Below are 19,955 nucleotides of genomic sequence, written 5' to 3'. Positions count from 1 at the left end.
CGTCTATATGTTTAAACTGGCAGCATCAAGGGACATTCATTTACTCAGATGATTGGTTGACCAGTCCTAATCCTTTCACTTGGGATGGCTGGAGCTTCACGGAACTAACAGCTGGTCCCTGACGGTTACATGGGGCAAATAATAAAATAAATTGACATCTTTTCTCAAATGAGAAAATCACAGTCCCCCTCCAAACACACATGTTAAACTTGCTAAGTAAGTAGTTTATAAACTCTTGTAATTCAAAGAAAGGTAACCCTTGAACAGTTCACAAATGGCTGTCAGATTATAGAGCTGGATACACCGTTGCTATAGCAAACTGCTTATTTAGTTTTCTAAAGCAGCTACTCCACATTATTTGCTGCAGAGAGGTCTTTATTTCAACTACATTTAACTTTTTACAGGCTATAATAATACCCTGAACATTTCACACAGTGCCTGGAGCACTTTTGATTTTTCTTTGTTTCTCTGGAAAAGCACTCAGTTGAAAAGACTGAACTGTGGCCTATGGGCTGGAATTCATCAGTTCTTTATTTTAGCAGTTTGAATTCTCCATTAATGATTTTTCACATTAGCAGCTAATCAAACAGTTTAGATAAGGCTGGGAAGAAATGCTTTGCTATATTCACACACACAAAAGAGCTAGAGTAAGGAGAAAATAAAATTCTATGCCATGAATCAAAATTAAGGGAATTCAAATTAAATAACAGCAACTGAAGGAAGATATGAAATATAATATAATTATATAAATTAAGAAGCTAGAGAAATAACTGTAGGTTTTCATGCAAGAATATAAGTGAAAATGTAACCTCAATGTTAGAAAAGCAAAGATATACAAAGGCCAGAGACTCTCGATGGAATATAACTTAATATTATGTTAAAAACACTTACTTCTGAAAATAGACACATTGTAAAAAGTCCCTGTGAGGCAGGAAAAGAGATGGGCAGACAAAAAAAATTCAGTATGACTATTTAGTGCCATTTTAGGCCTAGAACTATAAATACCACAAATAGATAGGAAGAGAAAAAAGAACTAGGTATCATACATCCAGGCTCTGGATTCTATTCAGTCAATAAGGCCACTGGGGACAAGTGACTTAACAAGGTGCATTTTGTTACTTAACAGTATGAGATAATTATTAAAGCCCTCACTTTTTAGGCAAGCAACTGAGAATCAGGGAGTTCAAACGTCTTGATGCAAGTCTCAAAAACAGGAAATGGTAACCAAGATTCAAATCCAGGCCTCCTATCTTCAAAAAAACGTGATTTTCTCTTACTAGGATTGACCTGACTGAATTGGTAAATCTCCCACCAGTTATCAAATTCAATGTGTACTGTAGAAGAGATGGAAGAACAGTCATATAACCAAGAAGAACTAGAGAAAATAGCATAAAACTGGAAGAAAAAGGCTCCGGTAAAGTGTGAAATTGCGATATGAGAAAGATAGAACACTGAAACATTCTTTTTTGTAGAACCCCTTATAGTTTTCCCTCAGACATGATGGTACAAAGGTAACAGACACTTTTGAGTTCTGTTCTCCAGGGCCAGTTAAACCCTAAGGTAGGAAAGAAATCGCAGAAGTTGAAGCATAACCCAGGCAGATATCTTAACTGAGGCTCCAGAAAACTAGCGAAGCAAATCTTGAACTGATTTTTCTACAAGTTAGGAAGCAGACAGATTTCTAAAACAATAGATCTTGGCAAAAGTCCATAAAGTATTGATAAAGAGATGGTTTGTGAGCTATCTGGGGGGAGGAGGGAAGAAGATTCCTAGAAGACTATGAGTTCTCTACAAACGAAACTTGCAAAACCAACCATTCAGCTATTCAAATTTTATAAACATCATCTATGAAGATATAAAAGGCATGCTTATCAAAGAGACCTAATACAAAGCTGGGAGAACTAACACAAAGTCTCTGGCTAATTAAGATTAAAATAATGTCTGTAAATTGAAACAATGCTAAATGTAATAAAGTGGAACATAATTGGAATAAAGCCCTGAATTCAATATTTTTAAAACACTGCATAAGCATAAACTTCCAGTAAAAATATCAGCACAATTTTTGACACATATTTGGAGATTTTCATAGATTACAAATTCTACATAAGGCAACACAGTGATGTAACTGCTAAAAAAAGGGAATACAATTCTCTTATACTAACAGATGTGTAGCATACACATCAAGGGAACTAATTGTAACACTGATCAAATAATATGTGAGGTACTATGACCACTTCTAGGCGAAACACTTAAAGGGGAGAGAGACCAAAATTCCTTCAGTTGAAATAAATCATGTCAGCATAAGATTGCTTGAGAGCTTGGAGAATATTCAGTTTGCAAAAGATAAGGCTTTCTTCAAATATGCAAATAATTGACATGGATAAATGGGAATAAATTAATCCTGTATTACTAAAAGGTGAAGTAACAGGACTCAGATTTAGGTAAAATAATGAAGAACTTTATAACATCTAGATGGGTCCCATAATTGGAAAGCATGTCTCATATCTAGGGAGTTTCTTAGCATTGAAAAAATTCAAACACTGGATGATGGTTGAAGTTGCTGTAGAAGAGATGTATACATTAGGTGGGAGGCTGGAGATAAGCTCTTTGATGGACACTTGCTGTTTTGGGAGTACATGTTTATTGTTGCATTTTGTGATAATGAAACCTTACCTTTTTCTAGTTGACCCAACATTTTGAGCTCCACTGTCAGCCCATTGCTTCAGATAATGTTGACTCTACTCCCACATTTCATGAGCAGAACAAAAGACACAGGCTAAGCCACAGACTCAATTTTATTCCTCTGCCCAAAATAACTGGTTTAACGTGCAATGAGACATGATCTAGGTCAGACGAAGGAATGCTATAAAGACTAATTTTAGTGAGTTTATGTTGACTTATCAGGCATATAGACTATCTCTTCTGTGACATTAGGATGACAATGTGAATTGAACCTGCAAATGGAGAGGAGCAACAGAATGAATCAAAGACTGGAAATGGAGCCACCCCACAGAAAAATGAGCTGTAAAACAGATCCTGATGATGTAATTGGGCTACTATATTCCTTGAAGTTTTCACTTATACAAACTAATTTTATCTTTTCCTAAGTTAGTTTGTATTGAGTTTTCTCTCTTATTTGTAACAGAAAGAATCTGAAGTTATACTAATTCCAAGATCCCTTCCAACTCCAAGAGAAGAAATGATAAATGAAATAAGAAATACAACTTCTAACATCTATAAGTTAGGGGCAAGACCCATAGTTAAGTTAAGTGGGTATACGATGTGAGTTCTGCATAGTACACCCCAACCATAGCTCAGGTACATGAAAGAAAGGCCAAGAAACACTTTGAGTGGGGTGGCGATTTTAAGACAGAAACTCAGGAACAGTTATTACTGAGGCAAAAGCTACCCAGTTCCTGCTGGGAAGCATTTAAACTTTAAAGAGCTCTAGCTGCCATGCTGCCCTAACACCAGGGCAGACAAGAGACTCTTTAAAGTTTCATTACACCCTGCTGGCAATAGGCATTTCTTATTTCAGCTAGAAGAGAAGCGATATTGAAGTAAGGGAGAAAAATGGAAATCATATTGAGAAAGGGAGTGACTATCATCTTTCAGGTCAGAGGTTTATCATCATTATAATTTTGGTTGCTATGTATATTTAGTGTGTTTAAGTCAAAGAATAAGGGCTGATCAGGGTTACCAGGTGGGAATGAAGAATAATGGTACTTATAAAGACAGCTGATGCAATGATATTAAAGAACCTTTGGGTACTGAGTATTAATTAGGAATTATTATTAAATCCAAGTACTGTCTGATATTTAAAGAATGATCACATCTTACGAACTATGGGATATAATGTGCTTCAATTTGATTTAGAATATGCCCTGGTCTTATAGAACCTACAATTCTGTGAACCTCAGAAATATCAGAATGGGAAAGATTTCAAGGAAAATTAATACAGGATTTGTCACCATCCAACAGTAGTAACAAGAAGAATGGAGTTTCCAACTAATTTATAATTTGTATTGTCCCTCACCTGTACATCATAAATTCCACAGGAAGGTACTTTTTCTTTGTATAATCCTTGGATTTTTAATGAAGGACAAAAAAAACCCGATATACTTCATCCAATTTATAGAATGTGACTTAGGAATGATGGCCATGCATTACCATTCAAAGAATGGAGCCTGAATCTAATTTGTTCTTTGAACTAATCCAAATTTATTTTCCTAAAAAATAACTAACAGAGTAATCTACTTCTAATTCTACTCAGAGAGCTGAGTGCCAGAAAAGAATTTCTTTACAACCATGGATTGCAAAGTCTGCTAAGGGCAACAGGCAATACCAGGAAGGGAGAAGGAAAGAGAGAAAAAAAAATAGTTTTACATCTGAAAGACAAAGATGAAGAAGAGCAAGGAAACAGAGATTTAGTGAGTAAAATCAGCAGTTTCCTCTGAAGACATCTTGCATGTTCAACTGCACCCCTTTGTAGATGTCATTTATCAGGGCAAATACTCTGGGGCTTTGCCAATGAAACCAGAATCTATTTCCACAGGATCCTGGTTACCTAGATGCTAGCACAGCCAGATAAGCCACAGAAAATGCTCTTAGGTGGTTCCTGTTTCATAGTCTTACTTCATCTTCCACCCTAAACTGGACTTCACAGATCCCTTTTTCTATTAAACTATTCCAGTCTCTGCTGTTTACTTGGAAATGAATATCACATTAAAATGAAAAATTGGCCTTTGTCCAATTTAGCTTTAGTCAGCTGAAACAGTATCAATGGGAGAAAATGATGCTGTAATTTTCTCCTCTGGTAAAATGTGGCTAGAAATCCATGCAGAAAATGTAGCAATATTCATTAAAATGAAGAATATGCTACTATGAATAGTAATAGTTTGCTTTTAAAAGCACTTGTTAAAATACTATTAGATGTTCAATAATGACTAAGACGATGCAACAGAGGCGTATGAATGAGAATGTTGAGTTTGATTATTTACTTTGAACTCTGAAGTGATCTTTTTCAGATTCCATTTTCAAGTATGACAACTGGAAAGGACAATTAAACAGTAACAATGCTACCAATGTATTCTGAAATGTTGATTGAATTTCATCTTCGACTGCACAAAGAATATTAGACATTAGACATATGCATACGTGACAGAACCAGGTTTAACATAAATTTAATCAACATCTCTGAAACTGGAGAAAACCAATTGAATTATACATGTAGATCCTCGATTTTCCAAATGAGACCCATAGTTATATGTATGAAAAGAGAAGATATATTAGATGTAATTGATAAAAAATCTTAAAATTTATCTCCCTATGTAAATTTGTATTGAAATAAATGAATAATGGCTATTCATTACTTAAAAGAATTAAAATAAGCTGCTAAATTGTGGGGTTTAGCTTTTAAAAATTGTTTAGCTAAATTGTGGGGCAAGCTTTTAAAAATACAATCATGAACATGCTTACAATTCCATTAAAAGCAGTATCATAAAGTGGCTAAGTGGGCCAACTCTGGAGTTAGATGGGAAGCAACTGAAGCCTGGCTTTGCCACTTGCTAATTTGGGCACAATACTTAACTTCTCTTGGTTTCTACATCTGTAAAACCTGAATAATGATGGTAACTCAGAGGAAACACTCAATAACCGTTCTATGTTTTTACTAAAAATCCCTCTAAGGAGGTAGAAAAGGAAAATCCAGAGGATAAAGCAGGAGTAATAGATAGTCCTAGAGTTATTCTTAAGCCTTTGATGCTCATGAAAAGAGCAAATTTGAGTAATAAAAGTAGTCTATATTAAAACCTTAAGGCCAAGTTACTATTTCTTCACATGTAGTGGCCAAACTGCCCCAACCACACTGTCCAGGACAATGGTCTTGGCATAGTTCTGCACCCAGGATGTGAAAATAACAAAAGTGCGTTGTTATAGTCCATCAGCAACCTTTCTTAGTTGATCACTTTTCATAAGCACTCTCCTTGAAGTCTTGAACATTTTCACTAAGGTACTGGCTTAACTATCTTTAATGTTATAGATAGATAACAGGAGGGAGCAAAATGGTAAGTGGGTAGAATCACAGATTGTTACTGTCTTCTTTCCATAAACTATTTCATGAAACTACTTTGTTTTAAAGCACACAAGACTTCCTCTCTGCTACTTACTACAGTCAGACATTAAAAGGACAAATACATTTTGCTCATAAAAGTCAAATTCTAAAAAACCTTTATAGTTCTCTCACCATTATTCTTAGTTTAGTGAAAAAATTATGTACACTATTTTTATTTTCATTTGCTTATTGAAGAAAAAATATTACTTACTTTCCATCCCAGACATGGTCACCTCTGTGGAAAATCACCAGGTTATTCTTAGGGTCTAGAGCCACCCCAGAAACCTGGCCTGGTAACAAGTATACTCCAGGCCAATCCAGTGCCTCTTCCATGTGGAAATCTAAAAGATATATCCACACATTTAGTGTAAAAGGGAAAGGTCGAATTGCCTCATGAGGATTCATAATAGTTACAAGAAGCTCATGCAATAACATCACTAGATGCAAAGAAATAAAAAAAGACAATCAAGCCGTGCTCTACATAAATTATACCACATGCACATTCCAAGTAGCTTTCTGAGTGATGAAGTGACTGGGAACTTGCATTAGGACTGTTTTCTTCTCCTTTTGATAAGATGCCTGTAAAGCCAGCTAACCCAAGTCATTAAAGGGTAAATTTGAGACAGCCTTCTTCTCAACAAGATTTTTACTTTACTCTCTTTGGAAAATACGACAACATACATGGCATTTTAATACAACGCTTTTAAATGTTTTAAATAAATAGGAAGAATGGGCAATAAGCCTGGCACTCTGTGTTCCTCTGTCCTTTTCCCTCATCTATCTATCTATCTATCTATCTATCTATCTATCTATCTAATCTATCATCTCCTGAGTAAATTCTGGATATTCAGTATAAAATAGCCCCCATAATAAACCACTCATTGATTATTCCTTGTTACACAGAACTAAGATATCAGTCTCATTCTCCTAATTTCAGTGACCCTATAAGAATAGGACTCTCTCTTTCACTGTTCATATTTGGTTTCCTAAAATGAGAGAAGAAAAAAATGACAGAAACTCTGTGACTGAATGATTTCCAAATTATTCTTATTTCTGATCAGAATATATCTTCAGAGAATATCTGGGTTTGCATGTGTGGGTGTTTTGAGACAGGGTCTCACTCTGTCACCCAGGCTGGAATGCAGTGGTACAGTCACAGCTCACTGAAGCCTCAACCTGCTGAGCTCAAGCAATCCTCCCACCTCGGTCTCCTGAGTAGCTGGGACAATAGGTGTGCACTACTATGCCCAGTTAATTGAAAAAAAATTTATTCGAGAGATGGCATCTCACTGTGTTGCCCAGGATGGTCTCCAATTCCTGGGCTCAAGTGATCCTCCTGCCTCAGCCTCCCAAAGTGTGGGGATTATAGGTGTGAGCTACCACAGCCAGCCTCACTTGTGTTAATCCCTTTTATAAACACGCTCACGGATAAAGGGGTACAATGTATATATCTATACTAATTGAGGATATACAGTTATGAAGATGACTATGAAAGCTATTGTATCAGCGTTGATATTTCTGTCCCTCCCAAATTCTTCAACAAAGATTCTGAGGAGAAAAGCAGCAATTTGAGTCTCATTCCTCCTTGCCACTCTGAAGGATGTGGCAACATGCAGTGAAATCCTCAAAGACGGACATTAAAGACTGGGGGGAGAAAGAGAAGCTCAAAGCTTATATGATCAGCTATGAAAACTTGAAAGGATGCTTGTGTGAGAACAAGCACTTCAAAATAATTCTGTCAACTACAGAAAAGTACCTTTTCACCCAAAATATTTTAAACTTTGTACATTTTTTTAATAAAAATTAACAAAACATAGCACAATAGGATGCCCAGATTAGTTCAACCTTTGCTGAAGCATCATCTTTCCTTCCTTCCCTTCCTTCCCTTTTTTCTTTTCTTTCTTTCTCTTTCTCTTTCTTTCCTTCTTTCTTTTCCCTTTCCTTTCCTTTCCTCCCCTTCCCTTTCCTTTCCTTCTTTTTTTTCCCTTTCCTTTCCTTTCCTCCCTTTCCCTTTCCTTTCCTTCTTTTTTTTCTGAAGCATCTTCAACAACTATTCCCTAAGCGTATTTTCTATGTAAGGTACTATGGTAGAATCTGGGAACGCAAAGGAATAAAACGTGGTTTTTGGCCTTAGTAAATAAAAGGATATAATAGGGCTATAATAGGATAGGAATATGACAGAATAAAATGTTTTTAAAACCCAGGAACCCAATACTTATGACACAAAGTAGTACAGGAATATAGGAGAGGGCCCAGAATCCTTCCCAAGGATAGGGCTGGGATAGGGTAGGATTAAGGTCTACTTAAAAGGTTTCCCACGGGAGCAAACGTTGGTGTATGCACTTAAAGGTAAGGTGGAATTCATTAAGTGTAGAAGTGGGCAGAGAATATTTTGGTCAAAAAGAATAAAAGTGAGGATGTTTATAATTGCAGAATGTGTTGTAAGATTTTGTAAAATAATCAGGAAAGGATACGTGTGTATGTCAGGTGGAATGGGGGGCTGGGGACTGGATTAGCTGACCCTGATTTCTGATTTAGACTGGAAAATGTGCTGATACCACATAAAGGAGGCTGGATTTAACAATGATCATATAGTGTGTAGCTGTGGTGTCTTGACTTCTACTGAAAATTTTGAGGTACATTACAAGTACTTTATTAGCAGCAGTAAAGCACAGAGGGAATAATTTGCTTTAGAAATATTTTAGAGCATATGAAAATGTCATTGTCACTCATGTGTATTGTGATATGCCTTTTGGAGAGAAGGTGGGCAGAATGACAGCTGGTATGCCTGAATTTGCAAATAATCCTAGGTATAGAAGTGGATGTGAATGGAGCTGCTCAGATGAACAGTATCTATCATCTATCACCCTTGCTTGTCACAAAAGGGAGAACAATTGCAAATGGCTGCTACCGGCAATTGGGAGCCACTGAAGGTTTAGAAACATGTTTTATTGGTACGAAATAATTGTACATATTTATAGGGTACATGTGATATTTTGATACAAGCATGATCAAATCAGGGTATTTAGAATATACATCACCTTGAACACTTATCATTTCTTTGCACTGGAAACATTTCATATCTTCTCTTCTAGCTATTTGGAAATAGACAATATATTGTTGTTAACTATATTTACCCTGCTGTGCTATCAAACACTAAAAGTTATTTCATCTCTCTACATGTTGGTACCCATTAACCAACTTGTCTCCATTCCCCTGAATCTTTCCCAGGCTCTGGTAACTATCATTCTATTCTCTACCTCCATGAGATCAACTTTTTAAGCTTCCACATATGAGTATGAATATGGTATTTATCTATTTTTGGCTTATTTCACTTAATATAATGACCTCCAGTTTCACACATGTTGCTGCAAATGACAGGATTCCATTCTTTTATGGCTGAATAGTATTCCATTGTGTACATACACCACCTTCTCTCTATCCATTCATCTGCTGATATATTCTTAGGTTGATTCCATATCTTGGCTACTGTAAATAGTATTGCAGTAAACATGGGGGTACAGTTATCCCTTTGATTGACTTCCTTTCCTTTGTGAAAAATGTCATTGGTATAATGATTGCACTAAATCTGTAGATTGTATTAATCTGTTTTCACACTGCTGATAAAGACATACCTGAGACTGGGTAATTTATAAAGAAAAAGAGGTTTAATGGACTTACAGTTCCACATGGCTGGGGAGGCCTCACAATCATGGTGGAAGGTGAAAGGCATGTCTTATATGCTGGCAGACAAGAGAGAATGCAAGCCAAGCAAAAGGGGTTTCCCCTTATAAAACCATCAGATCTCGTGAGACTTATTCACTACCACGAGAACAGTATGGGGGAAACTGACCCCATGATTCAATTACGTCCCACTGGGTCCCTCCCATGACACATGGGAATTGTGGGAGCTACAATTCAAGATGAGATTTGGGTGGGTACACAGCCAAACCATATCAGGTAGTATTGTCATTTTAACAATATGATTTTTTTCTGTCCATGAGCAGGAAATATTTTTCCATTTTTTTGGTGTCATTTTCAATTTCTTTCATCAGTGTTTTGTAGTTCCTGAAGAGATCTTTCATCTCCTTGGTTAAATTTATTCATCAGTATTTTTTTAAGCTATTGTAAATAGGACTGCTTTCTTGATTTCTTTTTCAGCTAGTTCATTATTGGTGTATAAAAATGCTACTGATTTTCACATGTTGAGATTTTGTGTCTTGAAACTTTACTGAATTACTTTATAAGTTCTAAGACTTTTCTTGGAGAAGTCTTAAGGTTTTTCTCTATATAAGATCACGTCATCTACAAAGAGGGACTAATCTGACTTCCTCTTTTCTGATTTGGGTGCCTTTTATTTCTTGTTCTTGCCTGACTGCTTTGGTTAGAACTTCTAGTACTATGCGGAATAGGAATGGTCAAAGTGGCCATCCTTTGTCTTATTCCACTTCTTAAAGGAAAGGCTTTCCTCTTTTCTCCATTCAGTATGTCAGCCATGGGTTTGCTCTACGGGGACTTTATTATGTAGAAGTATATTCCTTCTAGGCCTAATTTATTGAGAGTTTTTGTCATGAAGAAAAATAGAATTTTAGCAAATGCTTTTTCTGCATCTATTGATATGATCATATGGTTTTTGTCCTTCATTCTGTTGATGTGCTGTACCACATTTTTTGATGTTGAACCATCCTCATATCCCAGCAATAAATTTCACTTGCTCATGATGCATTATCTCTTTGATGTGTTTATGAAGTTGGTTTGATAGTACTGTGTTGAGGATTTTGCATTTATGTTCATCAGAGATACTGGCTTGCTCTTTTCTTTTTTCACTGTATCCTTATCTGGTTTTGAAGTCAAGATAATGCTGGTTTCATAGAATAAATTAAGAAGAATTCCCTTTTCTTCCATATTTTGGAATAGTTTGAAAAAATTGTTATTAGTTCTTTATAATTTTGGTAGAATTCAGCAGTACCATCTGGTCCTGGGCTTTTCTTTGATGGGAGATTTTTTTCATTACTGATTCAATCTCATTACCTGTTATTGGTGTGTTCGGGTTTTCTATTTCTTTCTAGTTCAAGCTTGGTAGGTTATATGCATCCAGGAATTTACTCATTTCCTCTAGGTTTTCTAATTTATTAGCATACAATTGTTGAAAACTGTATGCTAATACAGTTTTCATACAGAAATCAGTATATCTCTAATGATTCTTTATATTTCTGTGGTATTTGTTGCTATGCCACCTTTTTCATTTCTGATTTTATTTATTTGAATCTTCCCTCTTTTTCTTGGTTAGTCTAGCTAGCAGTTTACTCATTTTGCTTATCTTTCAAAAAGCCAACTTTTTTTTCATTGACCTTTGTATTTTTTTAGTCTCTATTTCATTTAGTTCTGCTCTTTTTCTTTCCTATTACTAATTTTGGGTTTGGTTTGTTCTGCTTCCTAGTTCTTTGAAGTGCATTGTTAAGTTGCTTATTTGACATCCTTCTACTCTTTGATGTAGGTATTTACTGCTACAAACTCCCCTCTTAGCACTGCTTTTGCTATATTCCATAGGTCTTGGTACATTGTGTTTCCATTTTCATTTGTTTCAAATTTTTTTTTTTATTTCCTTCATAATTTCTTCACTGACCCAATAGTTGGTCATGAGCATTTTGTTTACTTTCCATGTATTTGTACAGCTTCCAAAGTTGTTCTTGTTATTGAATTCTAGTTTTTTCCTTTGTGGTCTAAGAAGATACTTGATATAATTTCTATTTTTAAAATTTTGTTGAGACTTGTTTTATGGCCTAACACATGGTCTATCCTGGAGAATGTTACATGTGCTGATAAAAAGAATGTGCATTCTCCAGCTGTTAGATAAAATGTTCTGTAAATGTCTGTTAGGCCAATTTGGTCTAAAGCGCAGTTTCAATCCAATGTTTATTTTCTGTCTACATGATCTGTCCGATGCTGACAATGGTTGAGGTCCCCAACCATTATTGTGTTGGAGTCTATCTCACCCTTTAGGTCAAATAATATTTCCTTTATATATCTCTGTGCACCAGTGACGCATATGCATATATATTTAGAACTGGTATATCCTCTTGCTGAATTCATCTCTTTGTCATTATATAATGATCATCTTCGTTGTTGTTTGTTGTTTTTACCATTCTTAAAGTCTATTTTACCTGATACAACTATAGCTACTCGTGCTTGTTTTTGTTTTTCATTTGCATGAAATATATTTTACTATTCCTTCACTTTCAGTCTTTATGCGTCTTTACAGGTGAAGTGAGTTTTTACGAGCAGCAAATAGTTGGGTTATATTTTTCTCTCCATTAAGGCAGTCTATATAAGTGAGAAACTTAATCCATTTATATTCAAGGTTATTATCGGTAGGTGAGGATTTATTTTTGTCATTTTGTTAATTGTTTTCTGGTTGTTTTGTATAGCCTTTTTTTCCTTTCTTTCCTATTGTTTATCATTGTGGTTTGATTTTTTTGCAGAGGCAACACTTGAGTCCTTTCTCTTTCTCATTTGTGTGTCTGCTCTGCCACTGAATTTTATTCTTGTGTTTTTGTGATGGTAGATATTGTTGTTTTGCTTATAGAGGTAAAATCTGGACTTCTTTATGCATTTGTTGTAGGGATGTTCTAATGCGAATGAATTCCCTCAAGTTTTGCTTGTCTGGGAAAACTTTGCTGGGAATAGTATTCTTGGATGAATTGTTTTTTGCTTTTAACACTTTGAATATATCAATTTACACTGTCTCCCGATCTGTAAGGTTTAAGCTGAGAAAGTTGCTGTTAGTCCGAAGGGGGTTTCCTTATATGTGACTTGATGCTTTACTCTTGATGTTTTTAGAATTTAGTCTCTGTTTTTAACTTTTGAAAATTCCACTATAATGTGTCTCGGAGAAGACCCTTTACGTTGAAGCTATTTGGGGATCACTGGGATTCCTCTATCTGGATATCTGTATCTCTTTCAAAACGGGAAGTTTTCAGCTGTTATTTCATTAAATAGGTTTTCTATGCCTTTGCCCATCTCTACACTTTCTAGAACAATATAGAACAATAAAAATTAGGATATTTGGTCAGTTTACAGTGTCCTATATATCATATTACATAGGCTTTCTTCATTTTTAAATATTTTTTTTCTTTTTAAAATCTCAGGATTTTTTTTTTTTTTTTGGACAGTCTCACTCTGTCATCCAGGATGGAGTGCAGTGGTGCTATCTTGGCTCACTGCAATCTCCACCTCCTGGGTTCAAGTGATTCTTATGCCTCAGCCTCCCGAGTAGCTGTAATTATACGCACACGCCACCCCGTCTGGCTAGTTTTATTTTTATTATTTTTAGTAGACATGGAGTTTTGCCATGTTGGCCAGCTGGTCTCAAACTCCTGGCCTCAAGCAATCTACCCGCCTCAGCCTCCCAAACTGTGGGATTACAGGCATAAGCCACCATGCCTGGCCTTACCGGGTTATTTTAAAAGATGTCTTCATATTCAGAAATTCTTCCTTCTGCTTGATCTAGTCTATTGTTGAAGCTCTCAACTGTATTTTTTATTTCATTTGATTAAATTCTTCAGTTCCAGGATTTCTGTTTCACTCTTTTTTATAATATCTCTTTGTCAAATTTCTCATTCAGATCATAAACTGTTTTTCTGAATTATTTGTATTGTTTATCTGTGTTCTCTTCTATTTTACTGAGCTTCTTTAATATCATTATGTTGAATTCTTTTTCAGGAATTTCATAGATTTCTTTTTTGTTGAGTCTGTTGCTGAAGAATTATTGTGTTCCATTAGAGGTATGTTTCCTTTTCATGTTTCTTGTGTCCTTACATTGATACCTCTATATGTGGTATAACAGTTGCTTCTTCCAGTTTTATAGATTGGGTTTCATAAGGAAAAATGTTTTTCTTTATAGATGAACTATAGTGTTGGTTGAATAGGGTGGTTTGGTTTTACTTCTAAGTGGACACAGTAGTCTCTGTATGATTTCTTTGGCTATAATCAGCATCAGTGGTGTCTCTGAGTTCCTCAGCAGCTTAGGCTGCAGTTTTTAGCAGAAGCTAAGGAGGCTTTGCTGAGGACAAGGACACAAGGTGGGTTGATCCTTGGGCCCCACTGGTGGCAACAGTGAGCTGAGCATGACAGGCTTTAGGCCCCTAGGTGGTGTAGGCAGGTATCAGTGGTAGCAGGTCCAGGCAGCTTACTCAGGTTCTGGCAGTGGCAGTGGTGGGCTGGATGGGCAGTTAGGTCCTTGGGCCCAGGGGTGGCATGCATGGCATTAGTAAAGGCAGTATCAGCACTGAACCTATCCTCGGATCCCCAAGTCATACACATGGACACCAGCAGTGGTGGTAGTGGGCTGGAAGGACCAGTCCTCAGGCCCCCCTGTGGCTCATGCAGGTGGGTGCTGGCAGCAGTGGTGATGGCAGGCTTGACAGACCCATCCTTAGACCCCTGGGAGGAGTGCACAGACACCAGTGGTGGTAGACAGGGCGGGTGAATCCTCAGATCCCTGGACAATGTGTCTGGACTCCGGCAGGCTGGGTTGGTACCCAGGCCTCAATGATGTGGGCAGGCACTGGCAGGGGCAGTGCTGGGTGGGGAGGAACTGTCTTCAGGCTCTCTGATGGTGTATGTCCATGGGAAATTTAAAACATGGGGTGACATGATTAATGCTGTATTTTTGAAAGTGAACTCTGGAAACAGAGTATAGGCATTAGATTTAGAAATGACTAGATAAATCAACAGATGGATAAGTCATTCCCCCACCAAATGTTTAAAATGATTTCAAAGTTGCTTGAATCTCAGATTGCACTTCATTCATTCTTCTCTCATGTAGTTGTCAAAATTCGGTACTCATTCACCACTCCTGAAACTTCTAGATGGGCTCCAAGGGGAACTCAAAGCTCACGACAATGCAGATATTTAATTGCTTTCATCACGTTCTCAGAGCTCAGAACTGCTACAACTAGACAGAATTCTTCAAGGGCAAGGATCATCCCTTATTCATGGTTTTGTCACCAACTGTCACACAGGGCCTGGCCTACTTACTGTATGGCCTCATAAATGCATTAAAGTCTATGTTTTAGTCTCTACTTGTTTATGGTATCAATTAGCATTCAAACTCCCCTACAACCTTATAATTCATCTGTACTACCTTTTCACCCATAGCAGAATGCTGAAGATACTATGAGAATACTCAATGAAAATGCTAATTGGCTGATTACTATCAATAAAGACAATAAACACATATAATGGCTTCTGGAACCTTTCTATTCAGTGGCCTGCCAACTAGGTACTGGGAGCTAAGTGCCCATGAAGATGCAGAGTTACTATTCTTACAGAAAATATGCAACGTCTAAAAAATTGCATTATTTTGGGGCCAAATATGAATTTCATAAAATATTGGAAATACTGTTTAAAGAACTTTAATCTGGCTATGAATGATCTCAACTATCATATGCCCTTAAACTGGTAAGTGCTTGGAAGTCTGCAAAAAAATATGGACGCATAGGTTGTTTTGAGCCTATCTTCACCAATTACAAAAACACTCATTTGTCACATATTAGAACCCCTGTAGGCTGGAAATTTTCAAGAAGGAAAATTAATGTAAATATCTAGAACATATTTATGAAAATATACACCTTTAGTGAATTTTCAAAACAGTAAAGATGATGTGTAAAAAAATGTATGAAGTCTAACACCATGAGCAACCTGGTTCTCTTAGTACTGAATGTTTGGAAAAATTATATTACATTATTGTTATTTTATTTTAAATTGTCTTTGCACACTTACATTACTTAGCCAAGTGTTCAAAACTTTCAGGATCTGAGTCTCTTTATTAACCAGAAATTCTAGGATAGTTAAAGAAAAACTTCATGGTTTTTTTCTGTGAATATTAGCTAAGTTAATTAATACTTTTGCTTCCAGTGTCACCATATTTTTAATTATCAGGTAGTTAAAGGCTATTCCCTATACGATGAAATGATCAAGAATAAAGGCATTGATTTAGGACTAGTGTGTATGTAAGTGGAATTAATATTGATTATTGTTCCAATTCCTGCTCATCACGACATGAGAATCAGAGAATGCTAGAACTGTATCGGAATTATTCCACATAACTGTCTTCATTTGACAGGAAAGGAACTTCAGCCTTGAGCCAGACTTTAGGCCTCAATTTCAGGGATAATTATTTTCTAATCCCCAATTAAGAACAATTTAAAATCCTTATTAAAGAAATTATATGATAAAATATATTTGAGTTCTACCTTAAACACTTTTGATGATAGAGAAGTTAAAAATTCTAGTTCAGATTTCTCTTGGTTATTATTTAAGAAATGATTCAATACATGACTAGTTAATGCTACAGATTTCCAGTGTTAGCCTAAAAATTAAATACAAATTTCTTACCCATGACCTTGGGCAAGTCATTCCCAACTTTGTCAGTTGCTCTAAATTCAGATAGCAAATGATAGAATTATTTCAAGCTTGATTGCTTGTTTTTAAAATCTGGAGTTGAGAACATGTTGAGAACATATTACTGGAAACAATACTTTTAGAAAAATAAGGTAAATATACATTACCTATTGATCCTAGTAGCTTTGATACAAATTTGTTTTTGTTTCTAAAAGATGATTAAAAAGTTGAAAGAACCCCTGAAATCTTAAAATATTTTTCCAATGACATATAACACTTTTTATGATAAATAAATTATATTATTCTATAAAGAATCCTTACGTCCTTACATTTATTATAAATAAAGGTTAATGTACAGCCGCATATCCTGCCATATATTCAGAAAAAGAAATTACTACTTTTAGAAAAAAATTAAATACTGCTATTAAAATTGCATCAATTAATCATGAAAAAGATTAATAAATTATACTTTTCCAGAAAGAGATTAATATTAGTGATCACTGTTGCATTCACATGAAATTATTAATAAGTATTTGAAAGGGCATTCATTTATCTGTGTTACCTAAAGACTAACAGACCTAAAGTTGAGGAAAAAATTCAAACCCAGAACTATGAATTAATTTCAGTGTAACAAGGCTCTTCACATTTAATTTTAAGAAATAGAACTGAAAAAAATCACTAGAAGACTTCAACAAAAACAAAATATGGTGCTTGCTTTTTCTGTACTTGTAAATTTTCATCTTTTGAGAAAAGGATGTCTTATTTTGGTCAGGGATTGTTATTCATCAGAAATGCCAGCAATAACTATAATTAACTAAAACTATTGTAGAAATATTTATACCAAAGTAAGAAAGAAAACAAGAATTAATTATAATGCTTCATTTAATGGGAGTGAAGTGAGGAAGAGATTTACCATATAAATAGGGGCTCAAAAGCATTAGCAGTATTCTTTTCCTTTTTAAAATTTCTTTAATTGCAAATGAGATTTTCATATTGGTCAAACTGGCTGAATACTAATCAGGAAACCATGACCAATACACCTATAATACCTATAGTTATTACAATTGTAGCCTGAGATAATCAGATGACTAGAAAAAATCATCTTCCTATTTGTATATCTAGGGTGTTTGTGTGTATGTGTGTGTGCGTGTGTGTGTGTGTGTGTGTGTGTGTGTGTGATGCAGAATAACAGAGTGATTAAGAAGCAAGACTTGGGAGCAAGTCTGCCTGGCTTTGCATCTTGGTTTCTTGAGCTGTGGAATTTCGGATACGTGACTTAACCTTTCATCACTTTCTTCCTTTCTAATGAATCAATGCATCTAAAACACTAAGCTTGGCTCAAAGTAAGTGCTATGTATAGGTGTTTTTTTTTTTTTAACCATTCTCCTCCCCTCAGAGATCAAAATTCAGCCAACTGAATGGTTTATTTTACCCTGAAAATTCTGCAAGACTTGAACCTAGAGGTAAGACTATGGCTGAAATATAAGAATGGACTCTGAAATTAAGTATAAGTTGTTCATAGAAATGAAGAAAAAACTAAATGTATCATAAGAATAATTGAACACCTTCTGAATCCTCTTATCTGATCAGAATTGTCACACAAATACAGGTGTATTTTCTCACATCCAGAGGTTTGTAATACAGACTGAATCAGGCTTCCACATGCAAGTATGTGGTAGTCCAATCAAATCTGCCACTAGAATAGTTAGTTCTACTTTTTAAATGTTCAATGAGTCTAGTTTCCAGAGGGCAACTAGAATAAAGATACCTAAGATTTTGTTTCTACTCTATTAATGCTATCTCTATCTAAACTATTAATGATAGAAACTAAACTATACTAAGTTTAAAAAGAAGTACATCTGCTTCTTAGTTTATTGAGGTTAGCATTTTCACACTGTATGTCATATATCACATGCAAATATCAAGGTAGATCAATGTATGTGATCAGATGTTTGAAGAGCCACAAGTTCCCACTGTGATAAAACACTGCCAAGTCACTTTTTTCTTAACTTATCAACTTAGAGTGCCAAATTTTGCTGCTTTCCTGCATACTGCAAGAAAATTCTCTGTCTCACAAATGCTGCTTAAGATCAAATAATCAATATTTATACTTTGGTATTTCATTTTTAAAAATCTCAATCTAACATAACATGACAGTAATGGTAGCAATAATAGTCACAATTGTTAATGTACTATAACATTTTCAAATGCTTTCTGCATGCCGACACTGTTCAAAGCACTTTGCATGTATAATATCATTTGACCCTCACTTGAACTCTGCGAGGAGTATACTATTATAATCTCATTTTATAGATGAGAAAACTAAAGCCCAGTGAATTTTTTTATACTTGCATAGAGACCACATAGAAAACTGTATAGCTGGAATTCAAAGCCACCAGGCAGTCGGGTACCTGGACTTGCAATATTCTACATTATACTGACTCCATGAAGTAGTTTCCAAATTTGATTTTGGCCACATACAGAACTGCTTTTGGGGAAGCTGTATTTTGTGTGTGTGTGTGTGTGTGTGTGTGTGTGTGTGTGTGTGTGCGCACATGCATGTGTGTGTTGGGAAGCCTGTGACTATTACCTCCTACTTGATGGGTCTCCTTTCAAACAACAGTTTGAAAACCTCTGGTCTAGTGTATCTGAACTTGTCCAGGAAGTTTCTGTTGCTAATGCTGTTTTCACAATTGTTCAGAGTTTTCAGATCTTCACCAAAAGTCATGAAGATAAAACCTAAAAAAAATGCTATTCGCAGATATTTGTACTCCTAGAGATACAATAAGACACAGTATTTAACCGTCTTGTTCTGGGGAACGATAAGGACTTTCTCAGCTGGGCTAAGTCAGAAGATATCATTCTATTGTCTTCTTCATGTAGCTTGGTGACCACTGATATCCAACCCGTAACGAGGTGGAGAACCCAGTTTTAAAGGCAGATGCCAGGGTGGAAAACAAGTGGAATCCTGACCAAACTAAAGGTTCAGAAAATAGTATGGTTTTTGAAACCCTCAGGTGTTCCTAGGCCTACCATATAGTCACACCCACATTTTTGAGCTGATCTATTAATTTCACCTTTGAACCCTCAGGTCAACTGGATGGGCTTCATCATCATATTACAGTTCCAACATATAGACCAACTGATGAAATCTAAAATACTGCTGCAGAAAACACCATTGTATTAGATTATGCTGGTGTCAACAACTGGGGACATCAGATCAGGGTTCTGAATAGAAATCTCCATCTTCTAAGCAGTGAGGGTCCAGTGTTCTTGGGAAGTTTATCTTAATTGGGCAAGCTCATTAGGATCTCTTTGATTGAGCACAACTGTATTGAAATGTAAGAAACTAGAAGATGCACATTGGAAATAATCAAGTCCAAGTTTCAGATTTAGATCTGTGACCTCATTCAAACAGGTTAACTTCTGGCTTCAGCTT

General features: G+C 35.8%; 1 protein-coding gene across 57 annotated transcripts in view; it reads right to left on the bottom strand.

The window, feature by feature from the left end:
* Window positions 1-19,955, bottom strand: part of PAM (peptidylglycine alpha-amidating monooxygenase) — a 276,323-nt gene that overhangs the window by 34,381 nt on the left and 221,987 nt on the right. For 39 of the 57 annotated variants that reach the window (NR_033440.1, XM_024446070.2, XM_047417242.1 and 36 more), the window contains one exon: window positions 6,324-6,453. Coding sequence is in view for 56 of the 57 variants with exons in the window: in XM_024446070.2 (XP_024301838.1) it covers window positions 6,324-6,453 (130 nt within the window). In the remaining variant the exon portion in view is untranslated. Of the gene's footprint in view, window positions 1-6,323; window positions 6,454-9,153; window positions 9,208-19,955 lie in introns of all 57 variants that reach the window. The other 18 variants (XM_024446066.2, NM_001319943.1, XM_024446069.2 and 15 more) reach the window with 1 other exon arrangement.

Source organism: Homo sapiens, chromosome 5 (assembly GCF_000001405.40).
Source record: "Homo sapiens chromosome 5, GRCh38.p14 Primary Assembly".
In the NCBI taxonomy this organism is placed as follows: Eukaryota; Metazoa; Chordata; class Mammalia; order Primates; family Hominidae; genus Homo; species Homo sapiens.
Note: the sequence above shows the minus strand (reverse complement) of the source record. Positions and strands in the feature narration are given on the sequence as shown.